The following is a 13,071-nucleotide window of genomic DNA, read 5'->3' on the forward strand; positions in this document are numbered from 1 at the left end:
TCTAAATTTTTATTGTGACTTTCTCTGTTATGTATGTTGTTTAGGTAACATACTTCCTATAAAGTTTCCTAATGTGCAGTGGTGAGGTTTTTGCTCGTTTTTAGGTTTCTTTTTGTTATTGATCTTAATTGCACTGTGGTCAGAGAACAAGATGTAAGATGTGTATTTATGGGCTCTTTAGTGTCTATTCAGGTTGTTTTATGTCATAGTATATGGTCATATTTTTTCTCTATATGTTCCTTTCCTTATAAGAATAAATAATAAACTTTTTCTCTATATATTCCTTTCCTAATATGTTTCATGTATGCCTTTGCTTTAAAACATTATTAGATGCCACTTTCTATGTTCATTTGAAGATTATACCGAAGTTTCTAGCTGTTCTGCTTAAATACCTGATATCCTTTAGTCTGTAGTAGCTGGCAGTTATTGAGAGTACATCAAAGTCTCCATTATGATGCTGGATTTGTCAATCTCCTTATAATTGTATCCCTCTTTTATATTAGGAGGCTACGTTGTTAGGTGCGTAGGTTGGAATTTATTATATCTTTCTCTGGATTGTTCTTTTTTCTTTATGTAATTAATGACCTTTTAATTCCCTAGTAATATTTTATTGACAGCCTTTTGTCTGATATTAACATAGTAGTACAAGTTTTTTTAAGTTAGTACCTACTAATGTATCTTGCTGCCTTTCAATGTTGTCATATTTAGATATGACTCTTAGCTAAAGGTAAGAGACATTCAGTGATCACTGGTTTTATTTTTTTTAGTTTGAGAATCTCCGTGTTTCATTATTTCATTTTAAAACATGGAAAATCTTTAGAACTTTTTTCTTAAAAAGAATAGACCCTTGTTCAAACAAAATACTTTTAATTAAAAATTGAGTTTATTTTTATGTAAAAATTGTTGCCATTATAAAGCATTCTTTCATATTAAATTATAAATTATCCATGATATGATTTTTTCCTTTAAACAAGAAATGTATACATTATCATTCATTGCTTTTCCTTGACATTTATGTATTTTAAACAATAACCATTGGGGTTTTCACCTTCTTTGTACTTTTTATCTTAAAGTTAGCATTATTTAAATTAATTTAGGTATTTTCCATCAAATTATTGGCCCTAAAACCTTTAGTGCTATTTTTATATTCAGTATATATTTACATTTTAATTATATTTGAAGGTATTTAATTTTTGTATTCATTTGAGGAATGAAATATAACAATATATTTTTCATTATTTTATCATATTTATGAATGACTGGGTTGCACTGGTGCAAATTATTATCATTCTGATACATTATATAAGGCTGTATCTTCCAAAGTAAGCTTTAAAATGTGCTCAGAATTGTTCATTGCAGAAAGGAACCTTGGGAGAGTGCTGGGAAACAATAAAAGGTCAAGTTTAATGCCTTCAAGAACTTGTGGTGATGCTGTTGCTAGCAAGAACATACTGCTTTATTAGTTGCATAGCTTTATTAGTAGGTGCAGTTTACTACCACTCAGTATAGTTTCCAGCCTTTCAAGTGAAGGAGAGCTGGCTTAATTAATTATGGCATTTCTAATCTCACTTAATTTGTTATTTTAGTGAAGCCTTCAACAAGCCCTACTGGTTTTTCCCCCAGGTGACAGTAAATATTACAGAAATAATACACTTTACAAAATGGGTATTGAAGTGCACCTCTTTGGAAAGCCATATAGTGCAGACATATTTATATGACAGGAGCATTCTAAATGGGATCTCATGTGGCCTCTTTATTTTCCATGAAGATGCACATAGAATATGAAAGGGAGTAAACATGTGGCTTATGTGGGAGCAATTACAAAGGTCTCTTTGTATTTCCTAAGTCCAAAGGCATCCATTCACACCTAGTTCTGCATGGTTTCAGTTGCTTCTCTGTCAATTTTTTTCCCAGTGCATATGATTTGAAAACTGTAGTTACTGTGACAGTATTTTGGTTATTAGATATTTTTGTTATGGTTTTAAAGTAATTAATCCCTTGCTACTTTATACGTTTCATGACAGTGGTGGAGGAAATGGGGGGAAACCTTTGGAGGCACTCCTGAAAGAATGGAGAGAGAAATTAATCTCCAGTCAACATAGGGTCTAATGCAGTTATAAGAGAAGCAAAGATTTAGGGCCAGCCCCCTGCTCCACCACCTCTGTCAATTCACCACTGGATGATGAAGCCCACAGGGGTGGGTGTGACTCATCTGCATATCCAGCCCCTAATAAATCAAATTGTGCAATTCAGGGAATATGGCAATTGAAAACCAGATGCTTAGACCACTAAGCCATCCCTTCTGGCACATCGTAAAGCATGGTGTTGTAAATACAGCAGATAATTGAAATTTAGATTTCAGATATAGGCACTGTTAGCAGCCCTCCTCTAGCTTTCATTGCTGAGAGTCTTCCAAGTGTGTTTAACAGTTCATATTAAGGCAATTGCTGTCAAAATTAATTAAGCATTTTTATTTTTTCATATTTTTTAATCTCTTCTTTGATGAGGAGAGTATTCATAATACAAACAAAAGACAGGCGTCTGAACTTAAAAGTACATCCAAACTGAATATGGAAAATATTCTATAGTTTGGGAAATAAAGTTGTGAACTCCCCATTTGGTTTCTTTCAAGTTTTTGCTTTAAACAAAACACAGGTTTTTTAAGAAAAAACCTTGCTACTCCATTGATTAAAACTGTCATCCTTCTTTGTCCATCATATAATGTACTTTCCATAAATTAGCTGCTTCACTTCTTTTTATACCAATCAAATTACAGTGGTCCTTAGGCTTAAGTGGGTCACAGGACTTGGCTTCTTATAACCCTCAAAGCCCCTTAGCTTTTTATAAAAGCCATCAAGCATGCCATTTGATCTGTACATTTTCTCTTTTTTTTTCTTGCTGTCTTCAATATTATGGACAAAATTTGGAATATTTTAGTAGGTTGTCTACATTTTATAAAACCTGTTTTTGTAATGAGACTGTTACAAATGAGAGTAATGAATGCAATAAAGTTAAGAATTTGTTGAAATGATATTACCTTATTCAAAAGTAGATAGAGTAAAAGTAAAAAGTCTATGAAGAGTGGTGGTTTGAATTGGGCAATCAACCTGGGATGAATGTCACCATTTCATCCGTGTTAGTATTAGGCATTTCAAATGGCAAAATTATATCACCAATAATATTCTTTCAAAAAGGAAAAACAGCTCTACCAGGCTTGAAGTGACCCTGACCATCATAGCTATTCAGACAGAATGGGTGTTTTATCATTCCATGTGAATATCGTGTGTTGATCGGAAGTCATACCAAAAAAAATACTTAAAGTGCATCTTCTAATGTGACAGTGTAATCATAAGGACATCAGAGTTAAGCCAATTATTCTAGTTCACAGCAGTTTTAAATTGAAAGCTATTTTTGTGCAATGGCATCTAGATGAATGTGATTCTCAGAGACAGGTAAATAGTGTCAGGCTCTAAAGATTTTGCAACTGTGATCCAAATGATGACTGAGTTCCCGCAGTGAGGCCATAACTCATGGGCACTCACCAGTCTTTCCAGTACTGAGAAGTCATCATTAGCACCCTAATGGAAACTGAGGATCATGATAGAAACGTACTCAGTGATGCATTTGACAGCTGTACAGAGTAACTTCCTTTAGAGGGAAGGATTAAAATTTGACAGAGTTTGAGCATAAATAAGGAAATAAATTAAGATAAGACTAGATCTAGATGCATGAGCACATTGAGGATTGAATTATTCAATCCAAGTGGACAGAAAGAAAATAAATAGATTGTTATATTTCTTTTTTAAAATAATAGGGTAAAATGTGATAAGCTGGGCTTGGGGGGATGACTGAGTTGCTTTGAAAAATAATGGGAAAGAAAACCAAGCAGTTTTGCTCTGTTTTAAACCATTTGGACCATAGCCACAGAATTCAGAGGAAGAGAAAACTATGTTAAGTAAAAATCAACCCTCAACTTTCACTATGTTCGGGCAAAACTCTGGGAACAGTGAGACAAATTCATGTCACATTAATGAAGAGAGTTACTGACTTACACTGTCCCCTTTCTATTCCTTTGTATGTCTTTCTGCCTCCTGGTCTCAACCTCTTTGTGTCAATAATAGAGATTTATGGGAATGACTGCCAATCATAATGCAAAGTATATAGAATGGTGCAACACTTATGACTGTCTTTTTTTTTTTTGAGGTGGAATCTTGCTTTGTCGTCAGGCTGGAGTGTAGTGGCCTGATCTCAGCTCACTGCAACCTCTGCCTCCTGGGTTCAAGTGATTCTCCTGCCTCAGCCTCCCGAGTAGCTGGGATGGGACTACAGGTGCCCGCCACCACACCCAGCTAATTTGTTTTTGTATTTTTAGTAGAGACGGGGTTTCACCCTGTTGGCCAGGATGGTGTCAGTCTCTTGGCCTCGTGATCCACCTGCCTTGGCCTCCCAACGTGCTGGGATTACAAGCATGAACCACCATGCCCGGCCTGCAGTGAGGCCATAACTCATGGGCACTCTCTTTTTTTTTTCTTTCTTTTTTTTTTTTCTTTTTTTCTTTTTTTGTTTGTTTGTTTGGAGATGAAGTCTCGCTCTTGTCCCCTAGGCTGGAGTGCGATGGCATGATCTTGGCTCACTGCGACCTCCGCCTCCAGAGTTCAAGCGATTCTCCTGCCTCAGCCTCCTGAGTAGCTGGGATTACAGGCACCTGCCATCATGCCAGGCTAATTTTTGTATTTTTAGTACAGACAGGGTTTCACCATGTTGGCCAGGCTGGTCTTGAACTCCTGACCTCAGGTGATCCACCCACCTTGGCCTCCCCGACTCTCTTTTTCTGCAAGCGCTTAATCCTTGGGCTTACTCATAAAATATGTGCCACCTTGATAGGGACATACCTGACCATCTGACTGAGGAGGGCAAAGTAGGAGGTCAGCAAACAAATTTCATGCCCTGGCTCCTTTCACTGTCCATGGCACTTCAGCCTAGTGCTGTACACCAACTACCAAACAACCAGTCATTTCTCTGTTTTTCCTTTCTGGTGAGATGGCAAATCTGAGTCCAAAATCTCATTGATTCTCCATTTCCTGAAGTCAAGGGTAGGACTGAGTCAATTATTTTGTTCAACTTTTTTGTATCCAGTGGATGTCCTAACCATTACTGTTTCTGTATGCATGTACTTCAGTCTTTAAGAAAGAATGAAAACCAGGTTTTTTTCTTTATTGTCATATCTGTAATTTGCTCCTTTCTCAGAGGAAGGTCATCCACAGAAAATTAACCAATATGTTTGATTCTATAGAACTATCATTTTTGCGTCCAGTTGCCATTCCTTCTGAAGAGCTGTTAAATGCAGTGATTTTAATCTGCTTTGATTGCCTCACAAGTGAAGAGGTGATTTGCTGTATTTTGTAGAGGTGCATCAACGGAGTACCCTCAGCTACAGAATTATTTCCCTTGTAACAAGAAGAGAAGAGCAAGGTTTACATCACCACTGTGCTTAAAAACTCTTATCTGTCAGGAAGCATGTGCTTTTCTGTGCAACCCTGGGAGTTCATTAAAAGTGTGAGGTTGCCTCACTAATTAGATATGGCGGAGTGATTGGGCATAGTGCTGTGGGAGAAACCTTAATGTAACTGGAGTGAAATGAAAATCTCTGTTTTGTTCATACCAAGGGAAGGTTTGATTAAAAAGATTTCCTCTTTTTCATTTGGGACACTGTTTTGTTGTGTCATGTGGCATTGAGTAAGTGATCTGTTACAGGTTTGAAACATAACTGCTTCATGTATGTTTTTAACCATTCCTTGTTATTATTCTCATAACATATTAAAAGTACAGTTCAGGAAAGATCCAAATATTTACAACAGTTTCTCTGGGGTTTGTTATTTCTGCATGCACTTGTGAAAAGGAGTGCTGGCCCACATTCCTCTGCTAGGGAGTATGGTGCTGCAGTCAGCTTCACAATCAGATGGCAGGTTGGGTAAGTTGGTTTACTCACTCAGTCAGTTAATATGAGTATCCACTATAAACTAAGCCAATAAAACTCAGGCAGACAACCGGAGGTGTTTTTACATGGCTTTCTTTCTTCCAACTTTGTAAGCTAGAAGCCAGGTCAGTCTTCATGAGGATTTACTGAGTGTAGACACTGTGCTCTTGGAGCCTCTTGGGAGTGGAAGTGGAGAGAGACGGGCAGTGATGCACATGCTATGGGAAAAGATTGGCCCATTAGTGTGGGGAAGTTCTTTATGAAGCTGGTTTGTAGCTCTTAGGCAAAAGCAATCAGAATGTGTAAACAGTCGGCCAATTTCATCCTCTACCAGTTTTCATTGCATAGGATTTTGGCCCCAAACAATTGCTCAACTAACTACCCATTTGGTGAGTCTGAATGGGATTCAAGGATTAATCCAGAGATGATATTTGGATTAAATCATCACTGTCTAATAGAAGCAGTTATAAATATGTAAATTAAGCAATCTGATTATAGTACACCTTGGCTGCTTCTAGTTATTCTAGTAATTGTCTATGCAGGGTTAGCGGAAGAGATTTAAGCATTAGAGGCTGAAGTTTTTCAACCCCAAAGTAGCCAACAAATGGAATAGAAGTTAAGAACATAAGACCTTTAGTACTTATGGATTCAACATTTGAAATCATATACACATACTACATGTAAGCCAAAGGCCCAGAGCTTGTAATAATTCATAATTTTGCCGTGGCACAAACTGCATCATTTACACTGGGAGGTTTGTATGTGGAGTGATGTATTTTCAAAGAGGCTCCAGAAAAGATCGCAGCATTGGCGACCTCTCACTTTTCTGCACCTTCTCGGGGAAATAGATGAGGAGGGTGGCCATTAGAATATCCTCCCCACATTCACTCAGGCTTGTTGTTGTTGTTTCTAGCAACCACCACCTCTCCTATTTAGATATGGTCCCACAGAGCTATCACTATTTAAGGATGTGTCTGCGAAAACATTTATCATCATCTCAGTGCTACAAGTCTCTTACAATTCTGTCAAAGATATGGGCTTGGATTAGCAGCTACATATCAGTTCTTATCTTACACTTGGAATGGGGGTGAGGTTAGAGAAAGAATAGCAGTGTGTTTGGGATCTTGCTGGTGCTCAGTTGAGTTGAATTATAGAACATGCAAAGGGGAACAGTAGACGGGCCATTCATTAGTATCTTCTCTCCAGCTTCTGTGCTCCTTACTCCCCAGAATGGACTCTTCAGAGCAAAAAGTGTATACATTTTTTCATCTCTGTATCTCCAGTGCTTAGCACTGGAGCAAAGGGGACCCTCAATAAGGACTTGTGAACTGAATGATTCCTGTTTTGCTATGGGTTTGCTAGCCCTGTTATTTCTCATTTGATGATATAGTTTTGTTGAATAATGAGCGTTACCCAAAAACCTTTCCCTTGAATTCCCGTGTTCAATTTTGCTTTTGATTACAGAGTTCCTAAAGCAGAAGGCTACTAGAGGGAGAAGGTACTGAGTGAGGTCAAGGTGTAAGATGCCTGTGGACATGGATGTCACCCAGGGTGATACTAAAAGATAAGGCATGAGAGAGGGAGAAAATATTAATTAAAATGATGGAGCAAGAGGAAGTGCTGAAGGACCAACTTGGAGACTCTCAGGTGTGGACAATGAAAAGGGAATAGTAAAGCAGCATGGGGCAGCTTCCAGAGGAGGAAACAGGAAATTCTTATCTAGAAACAGCTCCAGGATGAGAGTGGGCAGCATGAAGAAAATGATCATGTCTCACTTCATAGGGTTGCCGAGGAAGTGGTTTCTTTGGGGAAAGTTTATTGTCATTTACATCAAGGTAGCAGAGACAATACTTAAGGAAGTTCTTGAGCTTATGAAAGAGTTTCAGGGCATCCTAGGAACAGAGGAGGAGAAGGGTTTGGAGGTACTTGGGAGGTGATGCACCAATGAAGGCTAAGGAAATGCCGAAAGAAGAAAGAGCAATGGAAGAGGACAGTTGCCCCAAGAGTTGTTTCTACCTTGACCCACGATTAAGTCTAAAGAAAAGAGATAGCTGGAAGAGGAGAGGAATATCGAGCAAGAGGTTCAAAACAGATTTTCTGAGATGGTGGGCCTTGCTTGCAGTCTTGCCTCAAGTGTAAGGTCCCCATACTGATCAACAATCTCTAGTCTGTAGGTTCAGGATCTGGAGGTTTCAGCATGGAAGTTTCCTTTCTCAGCTGGTGAGAATGTGATTAACTCAAGCTTCCAGCGATTGTGGAACTTAGTTGATTTTAAATATTGGTTTAAATGTATTTTATAAATAATGAAAGTCATTTTAAATTACATTATAATAAATAAAATATAGGTGCATATGTAAAGAAACATAACCAGCCAGGTACAAATCAGTGCATTCTCTTTTACTTCAATTATTTCAATCCATAAATAAAGATTAGCTTTCAATTGCACTTTAAATTCTCTTGCCAGAGATGCCTCTGGCAATGGTTCCAGCTGGCTGGCAACTTCGAATGCAGAGACAGTATCATATTGTCATATTCATCTTTGAATCCCCCCAGAGTCCAGCACAATACTCTGCACATGGAGTCTAGCATAATACTCCAGACGTCATAAATATATATTCTATTGAAAGTTAACTAAGACCCTTTAAGGAAAAGGAACAGATTTGTTTACCCAGTAAACCCCTTGCAAGTAGAGTATCTGTTGTATTTCAGTCCTGTGCTAAGTGACAGGGATACCAAGATGGATGAGACTCATTCCCCACCTCAAAGCTCTCAGAACCAAGCAAGGCAGACAGACCTGTAAAGAAATCTTCACCTACCCCGAGATCAATGAATGCCATGACAGAGCTTGCACATGGCATGAAAGTGGCACTGAAGAGGGAGATTGAGTCCATGCAGAGTGTTCAGGGAAAAAGTGGCTCATACTGAGTTGGGTGTGAAGGTATAGATGGCTGGATATTTGCCAGGCAAGCAATGGTATTCTAGAAAACTGGTGTATCTAGGTATGTGTTGAGCATCTCCCCTTTGCCAGGCACTGTTCTAAGCTTTGGGAATATATTTGTGAACACAACAGATAAAAACCACTGCCTGCCTACTTGGAGCTTACATTTTAGCTATTGATAACCAATAGATTATTTTAATGGGACAGTGCATCCCTCTACCTCTCAAGCACTGTAAAGTTTTAAGTTTAAAACATTTGTATTTAAATAGAAATGCATGGTGGTTTCCTTGTGTGATCAGAATATATTCTGGTCTGGCTATAGCTACTTTTGCAGAGTCTCTCCTAACTCTTTGTTGTGTTTCTACCCTTGCTCAAAAAACAAACAAACCTTTTGCTGACTGCTGCCCATGACTACAGCTGCTCTCAGCAGTTCAGACCTCTGCACCTCATTTCAAGCTGTGTTTCCACATGCTATAAGAACCCACGATGGTGTAGCCGGCTCTGGATCACCCTACTTCTCTCCATACAGTTGTCTTTGACTCTTCCGCTGTTCCTCCTTCTTCACATAAGTCATGGTAAGGATTGCTTCAAGTGCCTCTTAGGTTGTCTGAAGAAAACCCTTCCCCAAATTGTTTATTTTCAGTAGGTCTTATAAGCTGTGAAATTGTTTTTTGAAACTAGAGGCTTCCAATAAAGATGTCACAAAGTGAAATGCAAGAATGACAAAGTGAATGGCGAAATGATTGTGTAGGAAGATATATGAAGGTCATAGGAGAGCAACAGATGCACATGGCAAAGTCAGGAAGGTTTGAGTCTGGGTGAGAAGAGGGTGAAATGCTTATAGACGATAGGCAATAAAAAAGACCTTTTCAAGAAGTCCTTGAACTTGCCTTATTCATGAACTAAGATGGCTTGTCAATGCGGTTCTCTATCTAATAGTTATAAAAAAATTCTTTAACACAGTTTTGGCTTCCTAAATTTTGAGATTTTTTTTTTCTAAATGTACTACCAAACTAAGCACACATACGAATAAGTGTGCTTTTCTTTTCTTTCTTACCCTGTTCATGACACAGCTATGGAATTGGTCTGTGGATTAAAAATTTTCTGCAGCACATTTTCATCCTGAAGATTTTCGTCATGAAGACCAGCAGGGAAGTATGCTTGTGTTGGCATGCGTGAAATGCCTGTGCAAAAATAAACAATTGCTTTAATAGTGTGACCTTTTATCTCTACTCTCTCTGATCCAAACCTGGCTTTTGTATAGCTTTGCATCAGTGTATATGGGATATTTACTAGAGCCAAATTTGATTGAGATGTATTTCAGCCAGCAAAATGAAAGTGGTTAAGGTAGAAATGCTTGGTAATTGCTGAATTATCCCAACTTCCTTAAGTTTTTTCTATTTACCAGCTTTAGGTGATGATTTGGAGTTACAAATGAAGCCCTAGTACCATATAAATGTCCATTTTGACAGACCTGGATTCTAAATATTTGAGAAGATGGTATAGTTTAAATAGATTAAATGAAAGAAGGATGTTTATAATACCTTTGATCATACATTTTATGATTTAGCATGATCTGAAGCAGACCTTGTGGAAATTGCTGTTTTTCAATATCTTCACCCTTTCAATAATAAACAACATTATCTTTGTGTATCGAAGCACTGGGCTTAAGCAGTTTTAATATATTTAATGATATAGGAAAACTAGGGGAAAATTAGCTATAACTGAATGTGGGAAAGAATCCAATTATAAATAGAAATTATGATTATAAACATGTTTATATCAGTCTTGTATTTGAAAAAATTGTTTTCCACTCTTTTCAGCACTTTTGAAATGTGTTATTTGAATATGAGAAAGAAACAGTGAACAATAAAGGAGGGGTTGCAGAATTACTTTGTTGAACTTCTAAACTTCTATGGCTCTGAAGATTTTAAAGCAGCCTTTACTTGAACATATTTGTGTAGGGAGAAGTGCACCCACTGGTGTTAGCCTTATGTTGAAAGATTAGCAGAGCAGATGAAATGTTGATCTTGCCATCAGTAGTTATTTTCATTTCTGATACCTCGATGAGATGGATGAATGTGTTTGGTCCACTCAAATCTCACAAATGAAACAGAATTCCCTCTCTACCCACCATCACCTCTGCCTTTTTTAAAAGCTCACAGCTGTCTTTTGACACCTGGTATCAGCTTAAGTCAACTTTTACACATTTCTACCAAAAATAAGCGATAAAACCAAACACAAACAAAAAAACTCCAGCAGGTAAAGGGTATAATTTTAAAGAACTTTATTATAAAAATTTCACTGGTCTTTTAAAATCTCAATCAGAATACTGAGAAATCTTAACAATGAACTCTAACTGTGCTGATTATTAGCAATGAGAAGAAAAGAAAATATCCAAGAAAAGATCATAGGAAAATAAAAAAGAAATAGGGGTATAGAGAGAAGGTTTTGGTTTTATTTCAGGTATGCTTCATGCCATAGATTTATTCCTCAAAAGTTGTATAGAAATTAGTATGTTAAGAAAGTATAAAAGTGTTATCTATTCTGAGAGTGCTTCTCAAGGGAAGCTCTCCAAGAAAACATTTGGTCAAATGAATACCTCTTAATTGATCTGTTGGGGAATTTTTATATGTATGTTTATTCAGTTGGAGTTTGCCTGCCTTAGTATTTGGTGCATTATGACATTTTATGCTTGGAATGGACCTTAAAAATCTTCTTATCCCCAATATAAAGAAAATAGAAGTGAGGGCCAGGAGGTGATGTGTCTGGTCACCAGACAAAGCAATGATGAACTTATATTAGAATCTGTGTCTCTTTTGTGTTAGACCAGAATTCAGTTACTGTATCTTGATCTTCACTCATTTTAAATTTATTTTTATTAAACCTATGAAAATCATTCAGCATCTCTTGCAGACACACCAGATGAAGAGAAGGTGTGGCCAACCCTGATTATATTGATTATCAATGGGATTTAGCCTCTGTAGCACATAATCCACAACTGCATAATCTCTGTGAAAACAGTCCATTGAAAGTTGTAGACTTTTAGTGCATTTTACAAAGTTCAGAACTGTTTACACTGAGTGCAGTTTTATCCCATATGCATTCAGGTAATTTATCCACATGGCTTAGTGTGTGTTTGTGAATGTGCATGAGCACCCTGTGTGCATGCTCTCCATAAGCCAAGGATTTGAGCCAGTCATTTAATGTTAATGATTTTACCTGCTCCCAGGATTAGCAAGGGACTAGTTAGTAGAATATTTATGATCTAATCGTATTCCAAAAAAGGTTTTTTTTATTTTAAAGATGCAATTATTAGAGCATAATCTCTAGAATAATGAAAAACTTGATAGTCTTTCGTATAAATAATTTCTCTGTTTGTTTCATAATATGGTATCTTTTCCTTACCCTGTTTGCCTGAAATCAACAACCAAGAGACATTACAAGGTAAATACAGTTAATGTGCTTGCTTTCAAAACTAAGTCTTAGGAAACGGGGGTCCCAAGAAATTTTGGTTCTTTCTTTGACCTTCAGTTTCTTCTTCGACAAGATAGTCATCTTTTTGTCTTGCATATGTTCAGGTATGAAATTGGAATAGGAGTGCCAAGAAATCCACTAGATTGTTGTGGATATACATCTAGTTATATGTGAAATAGTTTGAGATCTTTGAAAGAAAGGTAAAGTATAATGAAGACATTATTATAGGTTTTTGTTGCTGTCATTAAAAAAGAATCCATAACATAAGTAATAAGGTCAACATTCCTTAAGTCAGCAAGTATTTATTGTGGTGCACAGAAAGAACACTGAACTGAGTATCAAGAATCCTAGATTCTGGCTTTGTCACTAACACAACATGTAAAAGGAGACCAGTCATTTCAGCTTTCTGCGTCTGAGTTTCCTTAGCTATAAAATGGGTGAACTGGCTTCACTCATCAACACCATCCTTCCCGGCTTAGTTAATAATTTTTAGGATTTTTCCTGAGTCTCAGATCTGTACTAGCTACTTTAAGGCAGTGGTTTTTGAAGTGTGGCTCCTGGACAAGCAGCATCAGAAACTTGTAGAAGCTCGGGACTCACCCTAGACCTACTGCAGTAGAACTTCAAGCATTGAGTGCGGGGCCCAGCAATCTAGGTTGTCACAACACTCCAGGTAATT

At 37.4% G+C, this 13,071-nt stretch overlaps 1 protein-coding gene across 17 annotated transcripts in view; it reads left to right on the forward strand.

Annotated features, from left to right (window-relative positions):
• Positions 1-13,071, forward strand: part of PARD3B (par-3 family cell polarity regulator beta) — a 1,074,688-nt gene that overhangs the window by 539,138 nt on the left and 522,479 nt on the right. Inside the window, exon 1 of one of the 17 annotated variants that reach the window (XM_017003289.1) lies at positions 9,333-9,490. The exons of the other annotated variants lie outside the window; for them this stretch is intronic. Coding sequence (XP_016858778.1) covers positions 9,488-9,490 — 3 coding nt within the window. The 5' untranslated portion in view covers positions 9,333-9,487. Of the gene's footprint in view, positions 1-9,332; positions 9,491-13,071 lie in introns of those variants that run through there. 17 annotated transcript variants of the gene reach the window in all.

This window comes from Homo sapiens, chromosome 2, assembly GCF_000001405.40.
Source record: "Homo sapiens chromosome 2, GRCh38.p14 Primary Assembly".
NCBI classification, from domain to species: domain Eukaryota; kingdom Metazoa; phylum Chordata; class Mammalia; order Primates; family Hominidae; genus Homo; species Homo sapiens.